The 21,560-nt window shown below is 42.4% G+C and overlaps 1 long non-coding RNA gene across 1 annotated transcript in view; it reads right to left on the bottom strand.

Moving 5' to 3' along the window:
- Positions 1-12,839: 12,839 nt before the first annotated feature.
- Positions 12,840-21,560, bottom strand: part of LOC102723321 (uncharacterized) — an 88,963-nt gene continuing 80,242 nt past the window's right edge. Inside the window, exon 3 of the long non-coding RNA XR_922079.4 lies at positions 12,840-13,922. This is a non-coding gene — a long non-coding RNA (uncharacterized LOC102723321). The remainder of the gene's footprint in view (positions 13,923-21,560) is intronic.

The raw sequence follows: 21,560 nt of genomic DNA, 5'->3' as shown, positions 1-21,560 counted from the left end.
TAAGGGATGCTGGCAAATGGTTCACCACATGTATTGGAAGAGATGAAAACCTTATTCGTGGTGAGGTTATGGTGCTGTCAGACCAAACAGTAGGTGAAGATGCCGGACTTTGCTGAAAATAGTAATGAATCCATGACACAAGGAAGTGACCTCTCCCCTGGGTAGTGCTTGAGACAAAGATAGTGTAGGACATAGAAAAGGATCAGCAGAATCTGGGGAAGCAAAAGGGAAAAAAAATCTGGATGCACCAAACCAAAGATGGTCATTGGCGCACTGCAAGTTAAAAGTTGTCATCAGTTTCTTACTAAGGAGGTGCTGTGAGTCACCATGAGGGGACTACTGTGAGATGTTTGCATCTGTATGTGTTTGCCATTTACCACACAGTAAACCATATACAGTTCTCATCCTCTAGCAAGGATAAAATACATTCTTTCCATGTTGCTTAACTTTCTAGGGTTTGGATCTGGCCCCGTGGACCCTGCAACTATTTCAGTCCTGATTCTGTAGTTCAGTTTGAACATAACTTGGTTTTTAACAACGCATTTTCTTGTATATGTATGCTCTGGTTAAACTAGAACATAGTAGGTCCTCTACTGTTGTTAGATGAATAAATGAACTTGGCTCAGGCGCCTGGCGCTATCCCTTACACAGCCATCCACAGTGCCCCACTCAGGACCATTTCTTCAAGGCTAGTGTGCCCTATTCTGAACCTACCTGTCTCTAATTTTTTAAAACATTTAACAAATGGTTAAGTATTAGGGAATCAGGTACAATTCATAGTACAACTGTTTACTTTGTCACTTCATGGAAGAGAGAAAAACAAATCTACTCAAAGGAGTATCTCAATGGCTGAAATTTATTCTGTCCCATCTTTTTCTTATGTCCAAGTTAAACAGTGGCAGACTCTGTTTTGGTTTCCCTGCTTGCAGTTTCCCAGGTAGGAAACCATCTGCCTTGAAGAAAAGGATTTTTCACTGTAATTGTGTCTAATAGCAAGAGGGAAACGGAGTCCACTTGGTTAATGTTGACTATAAATTTCTGCTGTGAGCCAACCACAGTAAATATTCACTTGGCCGCACCACTGTTGAGAATGGCAACACAGCCACCTGACTCTAGGCCTTGGGCTTAGATGGTTCTGCATTTGAGTCTCAACTTCAGTACTTTCCATTCATGGGACTTTGGGCATGTTCCTTAATGTTTCTGAACATTTCCTTATCTATAAATAGGGAATTATAATTCCTACTCGCTAAATAGCTATTATGAAGTCATATGATGATGAGAAGGAATCTCATCAATCAATTCACACAAATTGATAATGGACCTTAAATTAATGCACTGTCTCCTTCCAGAAACATTTTAATAAGGCCCAACACCTTACTCCAGAGAACAAAACTCTTACGGAGGCACAGGATGGTTCAGGATCTTGGGAAAGTCACACTGTGTGAGTCAGAAGAACAGAACTTCCATAATCAACAGAACTAAGAGGGTGGACCTCAGAAACAGGGAAGGAAGTGGCCAAAAGGAAGATGATTAATTCATTCAGCTAATATTTGAGTGTCTCATATGTGCCAGGCACTGTTCTTAGGGCTGCAGGTCCAGCAGCGAATTGAAACAAACCCTTACCTTCATGGAGCTTACATTCTAGTGGAGACAGACAGGTAATAATAAACAAACTAAATATAGGGTGTGTCAAAAAGTGTATAAAGCAGGGGAAGTTGGGAGGTGGGTTGCTGGGGTTTGAAATTTTAAGCAAGGTGGTCAAGAATGCCTCCCTAAGATGGTGACATTTGAGCAAAAACCACAGGAGAAGAAGTTGTCTTCCAGAGGTCATAGGCAGCCTGGGTAGGGGGCGGAGATGAGGGCAGACAGGGAGTAGAAGCCCCTAGGGAAGACTTGTTACCAGGTCCCAGCCTCAGCTCTACTCAGTACCTGGTGATGTCGGAGAGAACAAAGGGTAGTTTGCGTTCATTTTGTTTTTATAGGACCAGTTGGCAGGGTCCCTTTCTCCAGGCCTCCACCCCACTGCATCTCAGCCAGCTCCCAGAGCCTCATTTTTAGGAAAGCAGAGAAGCTTTTCTCTGAAGTAGAATTGTTGTGTATGGTTGTGCAGGTTGTACACTGCACAGAATGCCACATGTAAGGGGGTTCTATTCACATTTTAGATATGCCAGATTTGTATATTTAGGATGATTTTCTGGTAGGTGGCAGAAAAGTGTCTTTGAATTAAAGTAGTAGTATATTATGAGTTTTCTGACATCCAGGAATAAAGCATCTTGAAGGAGGGGCACATTTTTTTTAAAACTTTCATTAAGGTACCTGGGAACCAATAGCTGCCCTGAAGTTCCAGATTTCCAAAATCTTCCACAAGTGGTTTGTTGGGGATAGATTTATTGGTTATTATCATATCCCTCCTTTGCTGAAAATGTTGTGGCTACCATCACATACTAGAGAAAACTCCCCAGTGAGGCATAGAAGCAGAGGGAATTCCAGAATTTCTATGTTGAAGAGGTTTAAGGGTGGCAATCTGATAGGAAGGATGAGGGAACCAAGGAGAAATACCATGAGGCCACGTTGGCAGGGCAAGCATGCACCATTTATTTGGTTTGGGAGGTAGTTGCTAGAGATGGGAAGCAGTAAAGTACCACATACTAGCCCTTGGCCCCATCACTGCAGATCGTTCCTTGTCAATCCGGTCTCTGCCAGCACCCCTCACTTCATTTCTTGTCACCCCTATACTGAATCGGCGACCCAGCTACTTGAGATGCCAGATCACCAGGATGCATTTGCCCAAGATGTTCCTGTTGCCGGGAGTGTCCTCATGCCCACTCCCCCTCCTGCCCCACCGTGTCTGCCCTTAATCATCAGTTGCTTTGCAAAGTCTTCCCCCATGGCCAAATCCTGCTTCACACACTCTTGGTCACTCTATCCTGGTGCTCACGACACTTTATAATAGTATTTTAAGTATTTTTTTCCTTTCTGTATTGAAATGACAGGTTCACCTGTTTATACCACTAGACTATGAACTCCTCGAAGGCTGGACTGTGTCTTGTTAACCCTGCTAAACACTCTCTAACGCCATAGTTGCTCAATAAATGTACTGTCGAGCATTGCTTCTCAAGTATAATTACTATTTTCTGGTGAGAATAAAGAAAATGGCACTTTAAAATTATACAGTTTTAAACTGTGACACATGCTATGAGCAGCTTCTAATCCTTTAAGTCCTAAAGACTGTTTTTTCCATCTGTCATGTCTGCACTGAGCCTGATAATTTCTCAGGAACTGAGATATAAATATGCATCAAATGAGTACACATGCAGATAAGAATAATACCTGCAATTACAGGGACATGAATCAAATAGCCCTGGCTATCATCCTCATACTTGAAGGATATACGCTCATCCCAATTTGAGGTTGCAGAGAAATCACATACCCCAATATGGCAAGAATGGGCCACCTAAAGCCCTGAGCCCATATAACAGGGCAGCACCCTGGGGTCTTGTTGCAGCCGTTTTAGTTTCTGCAGGCCTTGATCACAGGGGAAACATACAGAGTATGTGGCCTTTGTGACCCCAATGCATAAGTCTACTTGGAAAGTTGCCATTCTCAGGCGTCAGGCATGTTGATGAGCAAAGTCCCGAGGGTGACTATGGGGCAGAAATATCCCAATTTAAAAATATTCTCCAAGTGGTTTATAAAATGTGTACAAGTTCAGTTACTCTTAGTTTCCATGTGCTGTGGCAGCTGGCCTGTCTGTATTTATTTGTTCCTCTTACTTGTGATTATTCAGAGAGACTGCATTTGTCTAATCCTGTCTCCTCCATGAGGGACAAGGACCCCTTAAAACAGAGATCAGCAACCCCAAGTTAATGGTGGGCTTGGCTGGGGACTCTTGTACTCTGGGGGTAGAGATCAGGCAGTACTGATCCTCCTGAGGAAGCTGGGGGAGGGCATGGGCAGCAGTGGCAGGGCTGGGTGTCATCTGGGTGGCAGTGTGGGCACCAAGGGAGGGCAATGTGCTAGTGTTCTTCCCACTGGCCACAGAAACCAGCCCTGGTGCCATCTTGATTCCACTTACTATAGGTGGCAGTCATACCTTTGCCATGTCCTTAGCCAGGGAGTGACTAGTCTAATAAGGCACAGTGCTCAGAGGATAGTTGGCAAACATTATAAATATGATTTAAACACTAGAACCCACAGTGTCTAGAACAGAAGGCCTATCTCTCAATTCCCTTTGGCTGGCAAGAGGACCTGGGGATGGCCCAGCTAGTAGGCCAGGGCTGGAGGAGGGAATTCCTCACCTAAGATTTCTGGGTAATGTCAGCCAGAGAAGACATCCAAATAAGCTGCAAGAAAGAAAAAAAGAGAAAAGAAAACAAAAAGTAGGGGAGGCTAAGAAGATAAAATAAGGCTCAACCTTCAGTTCTCAGTCTGATGGGGTCCTGAGCCCAGCTGTGACTGCAGCCACCTCAAGTGCCCAGGAGGGACAAAGAGGACACAAAAGCCTACCTAGGTTACTTCAGTTAGCAATTGGTTCTCCACCTGGTGCCTCTCCTGTCACTCTTGGTGTGATCCTCTGATTGGCCTTCCTGACTTTGGATTTCAGCTTTCAACACCAGTGCCGTAGCCACCCCACCTGTGTTAGTCTGATTTCTTGCTCACCTTTATGTGTCTCTTTGCTGTTTGTAAAGTCTCACATCCCTGATCTCATTTGATCCACTCAACAACCCTGAGTGGGTAGCATTACTATCCCCACTGCACAGATGAGACGAGCAAGTCTCTGGGAAGTGAAGTGACTCCTGCAGGTCACTGAGCTAGTAAGCAGTGGAGCCTGGGCCTGAACCCAGGCATTCTGACTGTATTTCTGTAGTGACACGTTGGCTACACCCAAAACCCACGAATAGCCATGCTTTTTAAAGTGTCATATGTTTGAGCGTGCCCTCTAATATATGTACGTTTACTTACCTAAAAATTATAAAATGTGTGATGTTAATACATTACGTATATTACACAATATATTAAACCATATTTTAGAAGGCTGAAGAAATTGAATAAGTGAATTTTAAAAAAACATGGGCTAACATTTGTTGATAACTGTTAAAGATAGATAGCTGGGTACGTGGGGAGTATTTTATTATTCTGACTACTTTTTCATATGTTTGGGATTTTTTATAATAAAATGTTAAACAAAGAACAAAGGACAAAAACCAGTTATGGAAACTTTAGCCAGGAGTTGCAGAACTAAGCAAGGTAAACACAGAAAGCTTCCAGGAATTGCCCTAGAATTGCCTGACTTCTATGTGGCACTCCCACCAGGGTGTGTGAGGTGACAAAGACAAGGTTCGGTTAATTATCTCAATGATGTTGATGTTGCTTCTGAGGTTTCAGCAGCATTACTATAATTTGTCCGAGTTCCTCCTTCTGTGAGACAGTATGTGGTATATTGGTCCAGAGGCTGGACTCTGGGGCTGGAGTGCTGACTCTATAATGCTGGCTCTGTTACTCACTAGTTATATAATCCTGGGAAGTCACGTAACTTCTGTGTGCCTCAGTTTCCTCCCCTGGAAAGAGGGGATAATAATGGTAGTTATTTCATTGAGCTGCTGTGAGGGTCAAATGACATATACATACATATCACTTACATAAATTTATATATACGTGTAAAGTAGCATATATACATAAAGTAGTAGAATACTGTTTGAAATGTAGTAAGTGCTAAACGCACTTGCTATAATAATAATTATTATTACTATTCCTTCTGCTCTATCTTCCTAGATATAATGCAGTCTGAATTCTCAGGGACTCTGCTTTCCCTATTTCTATGTTTGACTCAATTTCTTTTTTCTTTTTTCTTTTTTTTTTTTTTTGCGACAGAGTGTCGTTCTGTCACCCAGGCTGGAGGGCAATGGTGCAATCTTGGCTCACTAAAAGCTCTGCTTCCTGGGTTCACACCATTCTCCTGCCTCAGCCTCCCAAGTAGCTGGGACTACAGGAGCCCGCCACCATGCCCAGCTAATTTTTTGTATTTTTTTTTTTTTAGTAGAGACGGGGTTTCACCGTGTTAGCCAGGATGGTCTCAATCTCCTGACCTTGTGCTCTGCCCACCTCGGCCTTCCAAAGTGCTGGGATTACAGGCATGAGCCACCGCACCTGGCCCGTTTAACTCAATTTCTGAAAATGTCCGAATTAGACAGATGCCAGCTGTCTCTGATCAATTGTGATTTGGAAAAAGGGAAAATGGCTCTGGCTTAGGTGACATGTAATAGGAAACAAAATCTGATGGAAAGAGGTGGCATGATGATTTGGGAAAGCAGATTTTAGTATACATTCAGCCACCGATTGCTCTGGGACTCTAGACACATCATCCGCCTCACTGGATTCCACTGTCATCATCTCTAAAATGAGTGATTTGGAGCAGGTGGTCACCAAGTTCCTTTCAGAGTTGACATTTTTTTGAGTGTGTCTTGGGTTCTGATTTACTTTTAGCTGTGGGCAGTCTCAGGATTTTGAATTTCAAACACCCTCATAGGTTTAGAACCTGATCATCGTTAAGGTCTCCTGATCTTAGGTTCTGACAGATGCCATAGCCACCACATGCCTTGTGACATATGCCAGGTTAACCTTCAAAATAACAAATCACAAATAATATGTTAAACTTTTGAAGGAACAAATGTGTCATATTTATCATATGCACATAATGATTGGTTGATAATTTAAGAATTCATACTAGAATGTCAAATAAAAATACACACATTGTATAAGCTGATCTCTATTTAGGTAGTTGTATATAGCTGGCCATATAAATATCTATCTACTTATAGATATTTTATTATACTGTATATCTAGTTATATATAGGTAGATAAATCTAAGATACAGATCAGATACCAACCTATTTCCTGGATCCTTGTGTCAGAAATATCTAGAACACTGCACTGAAAAAAGCGTTCATAATTTTTAAAATGCACAGCTTCTATAAAAAGTCACACGTGTGTATATGTCTGTATGAACATAGATCTAGATATGTGGATTACATAGATACAGTCGCTGAAAGCAAATGGTGATTATATCAGGGTAGTGGCATTTTAGGTGATTTTTTAACTTTCTTCATGTTTTTGTTATGGTTGAACTTTTTTTACACTGAGTATCTATTATTTATATAATCAAAAGAAAAAGCCCTTTTCAAGGTGAAAAAGAGTAAAGACACAAATTCAGATAGTGGTATAAAGATATAATTATTAAAGGGAAAAATGAGCAAAATGTCTGATGCAACAACTAAATTTAACAGATAAATGATATTTAAAAATCTCCTAAGGTAATAAACCTCTAACACATGTTTTTTAAATACAATGCTTAGATATTTTTGTTCCTTGATTGAGTTCTAGGCCTTCTTCAATGTCCCAGAAGACTAACTGCAATTGAGAAAGTTCAAAAAAATGTTCAGAATGGGGACAATTTGGTTTTTTGAGAACAATTAAGTACTTTAACACTTGGATAAACACTTTTTTGTGGAGACTGTTAATTTTCCTTAGTTTTGCAAAACTATTCAATTCACCAGATTGGTATTGGGTTTCTCAATATGCTTAACACTGGGCCACGTTTGGGCCTTAGATTGCCCCGTCTCAGTCTTCTCCATCACAACCCCCTACAGAGCTCAGTCGTCATGTGAAGGAGAGACTCTTCCCAGCTGTAGTCGTGCCTCTGTGTTGGCCCGGCGTCTGGGCAGTGGTTCCCACAGCCGGGTTATCAGAAGAATGGTGAGTGCTGAACAATAGCAGAGGAAGCTGGTGTGGGCTCTGAGCTGATAGCCTCCCAGACGGCATGTCCGGGGCCGGTGAGGGACCTGGGCACACTTCCTCCACAGTGGAACTTGTCTCCTTTGCTCTGAATCACTTTCTTCTTGGGAACAGAGTCTCAGAGTAACTCAGTTCCCACTGCTCTGGGGAGATGAGGGCTAACACCTTAAGAGCTGGTGCCTCCAGGGCTGCTTATGATCTGCTCATTTGCCCCTTGTGGTCTCAGTTGAGGACCTCCCAGAACCCAGTCAGGCAATATCCCAGTTGGCTGGAGAATTCTCCCTAATGAGGCCAGTTTGATGCATTCCCTGTGCCTAGGCTCACTCTTATTTTAAAAATTCTACTTGAAATACTCTTTTAGCACTTAATGCAATAATAGTAGTGAATATTTACTGCCGGGGCAAGCTAAATGCTTTACATATGTGAGTGAATTTAATTTTCACAATAGTTCTATGAGGTAAGAACTATTATCAATTTACAGATGAGAAAACTGAGTAATGTGGTGTGACTACCTCTAAGTCACACAAAAAGTTGCTCGGTTGAATTCAAATCCAGGTCCATCGTACCCTTGAACCCATGCTCTTAATCTCTGTTCTATACAGCCACACACTAGACTCAAAGTTGTGAATAAGACTTGGAGCTTCTATTGTATAACAGGACAGGAGGACAAAGAAGAGTTAATTCCATGTGTGAAACATGAGTGAAAGAGAATGCAAGATTTACAGCACTGACAGCAGAGAGCTAACCTAGGCTGGCCAGATGGTTCACCTGTATTTGTGAAACCACATGCTAGAATATTTTGTTGAACACAAGTCTAACTAAGAAATCATTCTCTTTAAAAAAATTCATAAACTTGCTTACTCAATATCTTGTCTGAATCTTTGCTGTTAAGGTGTGGCAGGCATTTCAGTGATTCAAAGCCTAACATTAGTTGGGGCTGGTGTGTGTAGGAACCAGGTGAGGCAGAAATGCATGTCAATTCAGTGTGGAAAACAGCGATTCTCCTGAAAATCGTTTACTTCATCTTGCCCAACAATCTTGGAATTCCATCTCGGCAAGGAGAGTGGGAGATTGTTTTCTCCCCAAAACATTTTTTTAGCACATATTTGAAGATTCTAAACGTGACCAGTGATCTACTGGGATTTTGAGAGGAAAAAGAGTCCCCCCAGAATACTGGCACAAACATGTCCATTCATCCAGTTTCATTCCCAAAGCATTTTTACTTCCCAAGTCTTAATGTGGAAGTTTGAAAGCCAGAGAGAGTAGAGTGTTGGCCTCCTAGAATAGAAATTTAATTTCAAAAAACTACATGACTATTCATATTTCAGTCTGTCTCCATGAAAGTTAAACATTATATTTTCATTCTAATTACACTGGTAAATAAAGCATTTTTTCCCTAATCTGTTCCTCCTTCAAAGATGGCAGAGGATAGCGTAAAAATATATTCCAACTGATGGTGATCCTTCAAGGCAGAAACGTGGATTTGGAGTTTTATAAAGTGTTTATTAAGAGAATCGTAAATGTCAAAGACTTCATCTGAAGCTTAAAATCACCAGCAAAAATTTTGAAAAATTTCATCCAAGCTTTGTGCTGCCTGGCAATATTCTCTCACCGTTTTGATTCATTTCAACACACGTTTATTGAGCCCCTACTTTATAGTGCAGTCGGAGAAAGAGCTTTAACTTGGGGTCCAAAAGTTTGGGTTCTAAACTCATTTGTTGGATGACTGACCTTGAGTAAATTCTTTAACCTTTCTGTTCATCAGTGTCTTCATCTGTCAAATAAAGATTGTACGTACTTGATAAGGTCATTTAGAGGATCAACAATATGATTTCGGGGGGCCTGATAAATGACTTTCCCATTCTTTGCCTAAGTTAGAAAAAATGAGAGAGATAGACACAGGAGCCAGTCAGAAAAAAGTCAGTATATCACCTTGATTACTGCTGGGACTGTTTGAAGGCTTGGCGTAGGGTGTGCAGCAACAGTGGGCTTCTCTTCCCAGTTACTCAGCAATGCTGGACATGGTCATGCCCCTGTCAAATGTTGAGCCTGGAGGAGCAGGCTAAAGGCTCCCTGTTTCCTCTAGGCAGGCAGCTCCCTAGGAGGAAGGGGAGAAAAGGATGAGCTACTTATGCCCACAGAGCTGTGTGACTTTGGTGGGTCATAGGCACTGTTGGTTTCATGGGCTCATTCTTCCATGAAAAATATTAAAAATTATATGTGCATTGGCATAAAGATAAATATATTAATATTATATGTTAAAACATTTTGCTTGACCTAAAATTTTATTTTTTCTACTGATTTCAAAAGAAATTGAATGCTTTTGTGTGTGTGCGGGCCTTTAAAAGTATTGTGGACTCTAGCTACTGTTCTTCATGGGTAAGTCGGCCCTGCATGCTTAGTCCTTGTACCCAGGTTTCCAAACTAGATAATCCCCTCCTTCTTTCTTGGGGAGTATTGATTGAGGCCTAAATGGAGGGACTAAGTGTTAATTCAGATGGAGATGTGAATTCAGGGATATGCTGCTGCCCATAACCCCATACAAGTAAAATGCCGCAAAAGAATGTGCAATGCAGCCTAGACTAACACCAAGTTGAGTCAGACATTCTCTCTGTCTACAAGAACTAATTACAACACAAAGTACAGGGGAATCAGTGCAAAACTGAAGAACAAGTCACATGCTGAGGAAGTTCCTCAGTTCCTTGAGGACATGATATTTGAGCTTGGCCTTGAAAGATAAAAGATGTTTGCTAGATAGGGAATAGATCAAGGTAGGATGGAATGGAGTGGAGAGATCATTCCAGATTGTGAGAATGGCTAAGGACACTGTTAGTCTGTTTGCATTGCTCTAAAGGAATATGTGATGCTGGGTAATTTATAAAGAAAAGAGGTTTGTTTGGCTCACAGTTCTGCAGGTTGGACATGAAGCATAGTGCTGGCATCTACTTCTGGTGAGAGCCTCAGGCAACTGACAACCATGGTGGAAGGCAAAGTGGAACCTGTGTGTTACATGGCAAGAGAGAAAGAGCAAAAGAGAGAGGAGGAAGTTCCAGGCTCTTTTTCTTTTCTCAGATGGAGTCTCACTCTGTCCCCTAGGCTGGAGTGCAATGGCATGATCTCAGCTTACTGCAACCTCTGCCTCCTGGGTTCAAGCAATTTTCCTGCCTCAGCCTCCTGAGTAGCTGAGATTACAGGCATGTGCCACCATGCCTGGCTAATTTTTGTATTTTTAGTAGGACCGGGGTTTCACCATGTTGGTCCAGCTAGTCTCGAACTCCTGACCTCGTGACCCACCCACCTCGGCCTCCCAAAATGCTGGGATTACAGGTGTGAGCCACTGTGTCTGGCCCATTCCAGGCTCTTTTAAAGAGCCGGATCTCATTTGAACTCATAAAGTGAGAACTCACTCAATACCACAAGGATGGCACCAAGCCATTCATGAGGGATTCAACCCCATGATTTAAACACCTCCCAACCAGGCCCCACCTCTGACATTAGGAATTACATTTCAACATGAGATTTAGAGGGGCCAAACATCCAAACTATATCAGATATGGATTCACTAGAACACATGGGGCATTCTGGAAGTTGATGAATTCAACAAGCATGCACTTACTTTATTCTTCTGGCTCCAGGGACACCCTGTTCTATGCATTGTTGTTTTGTAACAGTGAGTGAGAGTGTAAGGAAAGTTATCATTTATTCAGTAGCCCCTATGTTCCAGGTGTTTTACAGACATTCCTCATTTAATCTTCACTTCAATCATTTGAGGTAGATACCATTATGCCCACTTTTTCAGACAAGGAAGTTGAGACCCTGAAAGGACCCAGAGCCTACTAGCATCAGCAGAAGCCAGAACACAGAGCTCTTGATTGCAAACCCAGGGTCCGGTTCTCCAACTCCTTGGAGATTTCAGAGGGTTTCTCCGAGAGCCCTACAAAGAGGAGTTCTTACAATTATATTTTAAGTAGAATGTTTTTCCAGAGCTTCATTTCTGGCATTCCACTATCCAGACTCTCAACTCCTGGGAGGCTTTTCCTCTCCTCACCTGCTCATCTCTCTGCTAAGGACCCGCATCTGTTGGTGGTGCCGCTTTCCTGACCTCCCATGCAGAAACCAGGTCTCTGCTTTTCGGGGGTCTCTGCTTATGATTCCCCAAGAGGGGTTTCTTCCAGGCACTCAACCTGTCGGCCTGTCCCAAGACCATGTTGGGCTTGTAGGAGCTCACATACAGTGGCCGCGTGGCTAACGTTTAGTAAGCACTTGCTATGTGCCAGGCACTGTGCTTAAGACTTTACCCTTTCAACACTCCTCTGACACTACTAACAATTATTAATAACTATTAAATTGTTAATTTAATAATTAGGCATTATTAAAATCTTACAGACGAGACCGAGGCACAGACAGGTCATGTAATGCTTTCAAAGTGACACAGCTGGAGGTGCTGGAGGCAGGATTTAATTCTGGCAGCCTGACTCCAAACTTTCATTGTGAATCATGATGGAGTGCAACCTCTTGTAGTAGAGTTTCACATCAGGTTTTCACTATTTGTGAGAAATTGGCCTCTCTGCTTTTCTTCATTTTATTTCATTCTCAAACTTTTATAGGACTTGGAATCTTTTCTTTGTTGTCTTTCAAGTTATACTTTGATAGGCATTTTTTTTTCTCTCAGAATTTTGTCATTTGGTTGTATCCTGTTCAGGAACTATTTGTTCTCCTATGTTTCTGTTGCACTCAGTCCTTTGTTATATCTTTTCTGTTGTCTTTTTGCTCCTTGCTTTTTTTCTTTTTGAGACAGGGTCTCACTCTTGCCCAGGCTGGAGTGCATTAGTGCAATCTCGGTTCACTGCAACCTCCACCTCCGGGGCTCAAGCAATCCTCTCACCTTAGCCTCCTGAGTAGCTGGGACCACAGGCACATGCCACCATGCTCAGCTATTTTTTTTTAATTTTACTTTTGGTAGAGGTGGGGTTTCACCATGTTGCCCAGGCTAATCTCGAACTCCTGGACTCAAGCAATCTGCCTGCCTCAGCCTCCCAAAGTACTGGGATTATAGGTGTGAGCCACCACACCCGGCCTCCTTGCTTTGTTTCATCTTCTCCTTGCAATAACCAAGAGGGTTAGGATGGAAACTAGAATGTAGAATTCCTGGGTCAGAAGACACCTCGGGAGTCCTCTCTTTCCCTTCTAGCAAGACCAAGCCCTGAGAGAGCATCTGTGGGTTTTATCTCTTAGCATCCATTCCCCTTCTTCATCAACATCAACATTTTGTCTTAGGGAGCCTATCCTTTCCATTTTGATATTAGAGCAAACATGGTGGCAACCACACTGCCTCACGTTGAATGACAGCTAACATTCTCTGTCTCAGTTTCTTAGCTATAATAGTAGCTATCTCATAGGGTGTCTGTGAGAAGAAAATACATGCAGATGTGGTGCTTAGAACAGTGGCTGGTAGAGAATAAACACCATAAATATTAGCGATTTTTATTGTCGATCTTTCCCAAGGCTAGGCCAAGGGAATGTTCTTTCCCTGGAACTTGAATCTTAAGCAGAATGGCAAAAAGACAGAAATCCATTAGAGCTGATTTATTTGGGTAATTGTGCCCTAAAGAAACGGTTAATCAGTTCCTGCTCCCTGGATCCTAGGGCAGTCCTTGTTTCTGGTCCTTCTTGAATTTGAATCTTCAGCTGTTTATTTTTTCTGCACCCCACTTCCAACAAATGCCCCTTTTTTTGCCTCTTCCTCCTCCTCACTTTCCTCTTCACCTTTCTTCTCCTTTTTTTTCCTGTCCTCCTCCCTCAACCCCATCTTCTCTTCTTCCTCTTCCTTCTTTTTATTTTTTAGCTTAAAGTTGTTACATTTGGTTTCTGATGCTTGCTGCCAAAGAACTTTTACCGAGTCAGCATCCCTTGAAAATGGCCCCTCAGCCTTGGTTTAAATATCTTCATAAAACAGCAACCCCCTTTTAATTGGTAAACTCTTATTCTTAGAAAGTACTTCCTCACATTAGGCCAAAAAAATCTTTATAGGACTCTGACGCCAGAACGTTTGGATTTGGAGCCTGGCTCAATTGTTTACTTGCTACGTGGCTTGGACACGTTGTTTAACCTCTGTGCCTTGGTTTCCTCATCTGTAAAACAGAGGATAATAATAGTAACCACTTCATGGTATTGTTGTGAGGATTACATGTCATAACATTTGTAAAGAACAGTGCCTGATAAGAGTAAGTTAATGTGAGCCCTCTTCCTCCCCGTCCTCACTCAGATCCCAGTTCCATCCTTCTGAGCTGCCCAGAATAAGTCAAATCTTCCTTTTCATGCCAACTTTTTGAAAACCGAGATGCCATATTCATATCCCTCTTTCCCCCAGGCTCGATATGCCCTGCTTCCCCCTGACCCATCTGGAGACCTCTTCCCTGTGAGGCCAAGCCCTTCTTGGAAAGATCCAAACCTGTCTTCAACTTTCCTGCCTCTTTAGTTTACTAAAAGTGAAATACAAACAAGCATTTTATAAGGCTTTGTGTTAAAGTTTACCCAACTCACCCAGCCCTAGACACTCCAGACTCTTGGAGCCTATCCCACTGCCCAGGCCTGAGGGTAGAGCCTGGGGTCTGGAGGATGGCACAGGAAGGCATACGGGCAGAATGCAGGGGGCAAACCATTTCCCCTTCCCCTGGCCCGTTCCATCCAGGGTTGTGCAGAAGCTGACCAGACACATTTCCTGCACTTGGCTTGTCCTGCCCCAGACCTATGGCATGACTCTGTGCTAAGCTGTGTCTGGTTGTTGACATGCCAGTGACAAGGCTGAATAATTTCCACTCATAGGAAGAGGCTTCACTGCATGGAGAGCAAGAGTCTAGTTGATAATAACATCACTTGCCTGGCACATTGCAGCTTGGAACACATTTGTTCATCACAATATTTTAATGAATTTGTCACAGTCAGAAAGCCTTTTTACAAAAAGGGGCACCCTTTTTATACATGAGAACATTAAGGCTTGGAGACATTAAGGGACTTGCCCAGAATCACACAGCCACCAAGTGACGCAACTTCCATTGGAGTTGAGTTCAGTGTTTTTTGTGATGTGCTTGTTCTGAAGCCTTCTGCTGCTGTTTGATTATTCCTGTGACTATATCGGTTTGCCCTTGAGGCCGCAGGGCCTCCAGTGGCCCCCTTCTCAATGGTCACCACAGACACTTAAAAGCAGGTGCCCTGAGAGCCCTTGGACTTATAGACTTTCTGCTTATAAGTAGGGGAACTTTTGGATGAAGAGCCACAGCTTAATGAAAGACTCATTGTTTTGTAAGGCTGCAGGTGTGTCCTGGAGAGAAAGATAATAGACTGATAAATCGGAAGAATCATGTCTTAGGGAGAGTCAAGTTATATCTATTCATTCTAATGTTTTTGAAGCCCAAGGGAGCTTCTAACTGGGGGCTTATTCTTAACAGATTCTTGCAGAGACTTTAAGGAAATCTCTTCACCTTTCTTCCCCTTTTTGTTCCTGTCCTCCTCATCCCTCTCTTCACTTCTTTCTCTTCCTTTTCTTTTTCAGCTTAAAGTAGTTACAGTTGTTTTCTGATGCTTGCTGCCAAAGAACGTTTACTGAGTCAGCATCCCTTGAAAATGGCCCCTCAGCCTTGGTTTAAAAATCTCCATAAAACAGCATTCCCTTTTTTTGCTGGTCTCCATTTGGATTTTCTTGAATTCAGGGCTCCCAGGTGAAAGAATGGTCCAAGATTCTGAGGTGGAACACTGGTAGAGTGCCCTGCCATGCTCTGCCTTTGAGCAACTATGCATCCTTCACTTTCCAAGTCAGTAGGAGTAAAGTTACCCAGCCCTGGGCTCTACCTGCAATGCTGAAGAGACTAAAAGCAAGAAACAAGTGGCCAGAGAAATGATTTTACTTAGCACTGGGTGTGATCCAGGACACGCATACTGAGGAACCATCCTGGAAATCCCTGAAAACCGTAGGAGGATTCAGACTCATCCCCTTACTTGGCTCCCTGCTGCCTGCAGAACAAATTAATGTGGTTTACAAAGTTCTTAACAATCTGGCCCCAAACTCAGGATTCTTTGGAAACCAAACTCCCCCATCCTTTTTGGTCCAGCTGTGTAGAATTGAGTTAGGCAGAACTTGACTCTGGACCAGATCAAAGACTGGCTAAAACAGGGAAGAGGCACGGGAAGCACTGCTCCATAAGACATGTCCACCAGTGCCTTAATAGTTTACCATTGCCATGGCGATACCCAGAAGTTACTGCCTCTTTCCATGGCAATGACCCAGAAGTTTCACCCCCTTTCTAAAAATCTCTTAAATAACCTGCCCCTTAATTTGTATGTAATTAAAAGTGAGTGTAAATATGACTGTAGAACTGCCCTGAGCTCCTGCTGTCAGCGCACTGCCTGTGGGGTAGCCCCGTTCTGCAGGAGCCGTCACAGAGCTGTAACACTGCCACCTCCATAAAGCTATTTTCTTCTACCACTGGCTCACTCTTGAATTCTTTCTGGAGCAAAACCAAAAACCTTCCTGAGCTAAGGCCCCAGATTTGGGGCTCACCTCTCCTGCAAAAGAACTACTCTGTAGTCTTCCAAAATGCCATTGCCCATCTGTCCCATGGTGCCTGGGATGTACTTCTCCCACTTCCAGTTCTCTGTCTGAAACTTCTACTTATTTTGCAAGACATATCACAAATGTCGTCTCCTATGCGGAGCCTTTCCTGGCACTTTCATTCCTTTCTCAGTTCCCACAGCATTCTGATCGTAGCTCTATTGTAGCACTTCTCACATAGTCATATAATTTATTTTGTGGTTAAGTGCACAGATGTTGAAACTAGACTGCCTGGATTCAAATCCCAGATCTACCACTGACCAGCTTGGATAAGGTTTCTGTTCTTGATTTTTTACCTATGTTAAATATGGATACTAATTCTTATCTCCAAGAGTTTTGTAAGGGTTAAATGAGCAAACTCTGCTAAGCACTTAGACCACTGCCTGGCATTCTCTGTTAGCTCTCTATTATCTGTTTGCAGCCACCTGTCATGGTCCCTGCCTATTCAGGTCCACTGGAGCATCAACAATCATGTTTAGGCTGCTTGCAGGCCCACAGTTCATAAACCAGACCTGGAGGTAAATGGGAACTCCCTACACCCCCTTGTATGGAGGGTGAATAGATGCAGATGTCCATGGTTCCTAGTTTCTGGTTTCCATTCTATACTCTCCTGCGATCAGAGCTCCACCTCAATCCCTTTTACAGGCCATGTCAGCATGCATTGCCTAGCTCCCTCAATCCAGATAGATTCCTGGAAATCGCAGTATTATCATAGACTTGATGGTCTAAAACAAGGCAGCATTTTTATTCCAACTAGGTCTCCAGCTAGTCTTGTGGGATTCTAAGTTGGTGACATCACTCAGCTCTCAGAGGGGTCAGGGAGCATTGATATTTATAAAACCCCTAGGTTTTGATTTCTTAATTCAGATGCCATGTCTGAATCACTAGTATATCTAGTTCCTAGCACAGTCCCAAACTCAGTGGGTTTTTAAAATCAGTGGATACATGAATAAATGAATAAATAAATGGATCAGCTGTAAGTGGGCCATCCATTAACTTTGACACCCTCTGTGCATTCCCACAGTGTAGTGGTCAGTGTGTTTGACTCCAGCTGGGGTTTCTGTTACTGATGGCTGGTAGCATCCTAATTGAAACACACCTCCAAGTGTTGCTCATTTGTATTTTCCTTATTTGGAATACCCTTAAGTTTTCAATACCGCAGCACCATCTGGAATAAAAAATGGCCTAAGAATATCTCTCATGCTCCCCAGAGTGCTGTATAGGTAAAGAAAGGGAGGAGCTACAAGTGTAAATACAGTTGGGCACTTAAGACAAATTTCAACTTCTTCCAAGCTTTGGCTTGGTATGGAGATAACCAATTACTTAGAATCATAGAGATATTAAAATTTAAAAGTAGAAGGCACAGTTGATGTAGCTTAACCCAAGGGCACTCAATTCTTTAAGTGTTAGAGATAGGACCTGAGACCTGATTCCTGCATTTCCCTGGTCCCTCTCTGCCTCATCAGCTTTTGTCAGTTACACACGTCCTTCCCACCACAGGCAGAGCTGGTACTTCAATCCCAGGGTTGTGTGTGAATTCACAGAAACCAGAGCAGGATTGGAGGCATGAGGCACAGCTGGCTGTTCTGGGGTAACAGGCTTGTGGTGGTGGTGAGCTTTTGCAAAGTTTGGTTTAGCCCTTCAGGATTTGAACCTTTACCCCATTTACCCATAGAAATCTTCTCCCAAGATTCATGAGGGGTTTTCTCCGAACCTGTCAAGATTATTCTTATCTGCCCTAGTGTTTCACCACTCGCTCAGCACACTTCCTTTTGCGTCTTATGTGTATGGTAGAGAAGGGGTTGGTTGAATGGAGGAAGCTAGTATTTTTTGTTTTGTTTTGAATTGTTTTGTTCAGAAATTCTGCTTTTTCCCATGAGCTGTTTGCAAGGCTTTGAAAGGACAGCTCAGAATTACATGGAGTAACTTATTTGGGGCAGAGAAAGAAATGGGTTAACAGCAAGTTGCTTTGTCTTAGAAATTAAAAGGGCACCACTTACATTCAATATGGTGATATTTATATTCACCCAAAATTGAAGTGCTCAATAATAGGGCATTAAATGAATTTTGGTAAATCCAAGAGCAGGAAACTGTGTAACCCAGGTACTTAGCAAAGGGTGGAGGTGATATATATACCCTGACATTAGTCTAAAGAGTACTGCACAGATACTAGTCCTTGATAATTCTAGTGCAGTGGTAACATCCTTATGGAAAGAAAAGATACAAACACATTACATTGCCTTTGGGTGCCATTCTCTTTGACTACACTCCTGATAATCATTAAAAAGGTGAAGAAGATGTATTTCTATTGACATAGAAAACGTCTCTGACACATCGTTAAGTGAAAAAAAGCAGATTACCAAAAAGTGTTCATAATACAATTCCAATTTTTTAAAAACATTTATAAGTACAAAAATGTGGTAGAAAGCTATCAGTATTTTAATAGTACTTATATGTGATTTTATCTCATGTTTAGACTCTTCTATATTACCTACATTTTTACAATAATACGCTATTACTTTTTCTAATTAGGAAAAGACTGGAACAGTTTGAAAAATATAAAGCTTTCTTTCTGTGGTTGGTCTCGGATATTAGTTTATGAAAGGGACAATGCTGAGTGGGTCAGTCCTTGCATTAATAAAGTTAGGTGATCAATAAATATTATTTCCCTTCCCCATGAAGACAGGGAGACAGGAAGACGCCATCCTCATTGCAGGGATGGAGTGGAGACGCTTGAATCTGAAACTCTTCAGAGGGAGATATATTCCTGGAGTCCCCAGCCAGAACTTGGCATCATTCTCTCCCATCCAGAGACCATGTTAACTAGGTTGTTAGCTTCTCTAGTACTCTCAACACTGTAGTTGAGCAACATTATGCCTGAAATAAGCTTTTATGGGCTAGCCTGGGAAGCTAACTACTCTTTATAACATTATTTCTATGGGAAAACATGCTCCAAATTCCACACCACCAATTTACATTGAAGCTTTTAGGATGCAACTATTTTCAGTTTGGAGACCTGCTTACTTGCCCCCTCCCCTTTATTCACTAATTATTTGAAAAATCTCTATTATTTTGTAGTAGATTACAAACTGGTGAACAAGTCTTTTGGCTTATGCTTTATTTGTTAACCCAGCACACAGTCAAAGGGGTTTCAAGATCGGAGGGGTCTTAGAAATTGGCACCTAGTTACTGAATATTACTGCTCATTGATTGTCAAGCTGGCTGGAGTTGTCCAGGGATGGGGCAGTTATGCCAGGGTTCATGTCTCCCCCAGCACTCCTCCAGTCTCACTTCCCTTGTCCACACTGTTGGGAAAGGCATTAAGGAAATAATTCATTTCAGGGGCATGCACTCATTTACCTACCACATTTACAAACGTATTGCATTCAGGGACAGTTCCTGTAATCCTATAGCTCCTGTAGTATTTGGGACCATTTCAGGACCATCTAGAAATGGTGCTTAATAAATCCTTAAAAACCTTCTGAGGTGGCAGAAAGAATACTGGACTAGGCATGATGAGAGGTGCCAGTCTTGGCTAGCTGTTTGAGTTTGGGAAAGTTACGAAAGGAAGGAATAAGCATGCTTATCTCAGAAAACCTTTTTATATTTGACAGGTGAAGACTCTGAACTGAGAAGTGGCCTTATGCCTATGGAACAGATTTCAACCTGTTCAATAAGAGGCTTCTAGGTTGGGGAAGGGATAGAACATATTGGCATTTTGGTGGTTGTTTCAATTACTTTGGAGGTTGATGTGAAATAATCTTTTTTGACCTCCTATACCTAGAACAGTGACTTTTAATCTTTTTTGGGTCAAGAGTGCTTTATGAATAGATCAAGACTGTGGTCCCTCTTCCCCTAAAGCTTTGAAATGAACACAGGGGTTTCTATGCTCCATGAAGCCCACCAAAAATCTTCTAGGGGTCCAGGCAGGTAATACTGATAATCTTTGGACTAAATTTCAAATCATTAAGCTCAACAGATCCTCGTGATTTTACCAAAGATGTTTAAAAACAGCTCAAGTAGAAGTTTTGCATCTCTTCTCAGAAAACTTTAGGGTCTAGAATCATGTGTAGCTCTTGGATACAAGCTGTTCCAGGATCTAGAGAGGTCAAGAAACCATGCCTTTTCTCTAGATTTTAGTAATTTAAGCTCCAGGGACTTTCAGCTAAGTGCTCTAACAGCATCATAGGAATATCTATGATCAATAACTGGCCCATTCTACCCTCAGGGAAGTCCCCAGGTTTCCTGATTCTTTGGGAGATCTGGCTTCTGCTCCTGACCTTAGATAAATTGCTTGCCTTCTCTGGGCTTCAATGTTCTCATCTGGCCCACTTGATCTTCAGTTTCTCTTCAAGCTCCAGTGTTCTGGTATCTGTGATTCCTTGATATCTGTATGACACTGAGACAGTCCTCTAAGGAGTGATGAATTTCACAATTCCCAGCTTTGGTCTGCTCCTGTCACTGAGGAAATTCCTGTTCAAAAGGCAATTTCTACAGCACCTGTCTCAGAAGCATTTGGCTTCCTCGAGGCGTTCAGGAGACCCACAGGAAACAGATATTTTGTTGTTTTTCTTTTTGCTCTAGGAAAAAAACTCATTAAGAGCCATCTCAGACAGCAGATGTCTGTTAGGTGCACGTACATATCCAAATGAAACTTTCACCCAGAGGACCAGAAAAGGCAAGGCCAGCATCAGAGATTTAGCTGTGTCCTAAGAAACAGAAATCTCTACTCTTAGGCATCCTCCCACTTCCATGACTCACCTCCTCTCATTCCAGAAAGTCATGCACAGGAATTAATTTATAGGTACTGTCCAGAGGTCTTTAAGTAAACAGTGCTACCGGTCCTTTCAGCTACCCAGACAAGCTTGACTTCAGGCCCCAAAGAGGAAGCTAATGACTTGTAGTTACTTTGCTATTGTTTTCCGAAAACAATCTGACTTCCTTTTTGATAGCCTTGGAATTCCTTCTTTACAAATGAAGGCGCTGGAGCCAGGGAAGGGCTGAGCTGGCCAGCTCAGGAGCATAATGCTCTCAGGACAAGATCTCCTTTATAAACAAGCTGCAGAGGCTCCTTAAAGGATGGTGGGCAGACCCTGTTTGTGAATGGAGGGACTTCTGTGCTGTCTCTGCCTCCTTCCTAAGATCTCACCTCTATCCCAGA

Source organism: Homo sapiens, chromosome 1 (genome assembly GCF_000001405.40).
Source record: "Homo sapiens chromosome 1, GRCh38.p14 Primary Assembly".
Classification (NCBI taxonomy): domain Eukaryota; kingdom Metazoa; phylum Chordata; class Mammalia; order Primates; family Hominidae; genus Homo; species Homo sapiens.
Note: the sequence above shows the minus strand (reverse complement) of the source record. Positions and strands in the feature narration are given on the sequence as shown.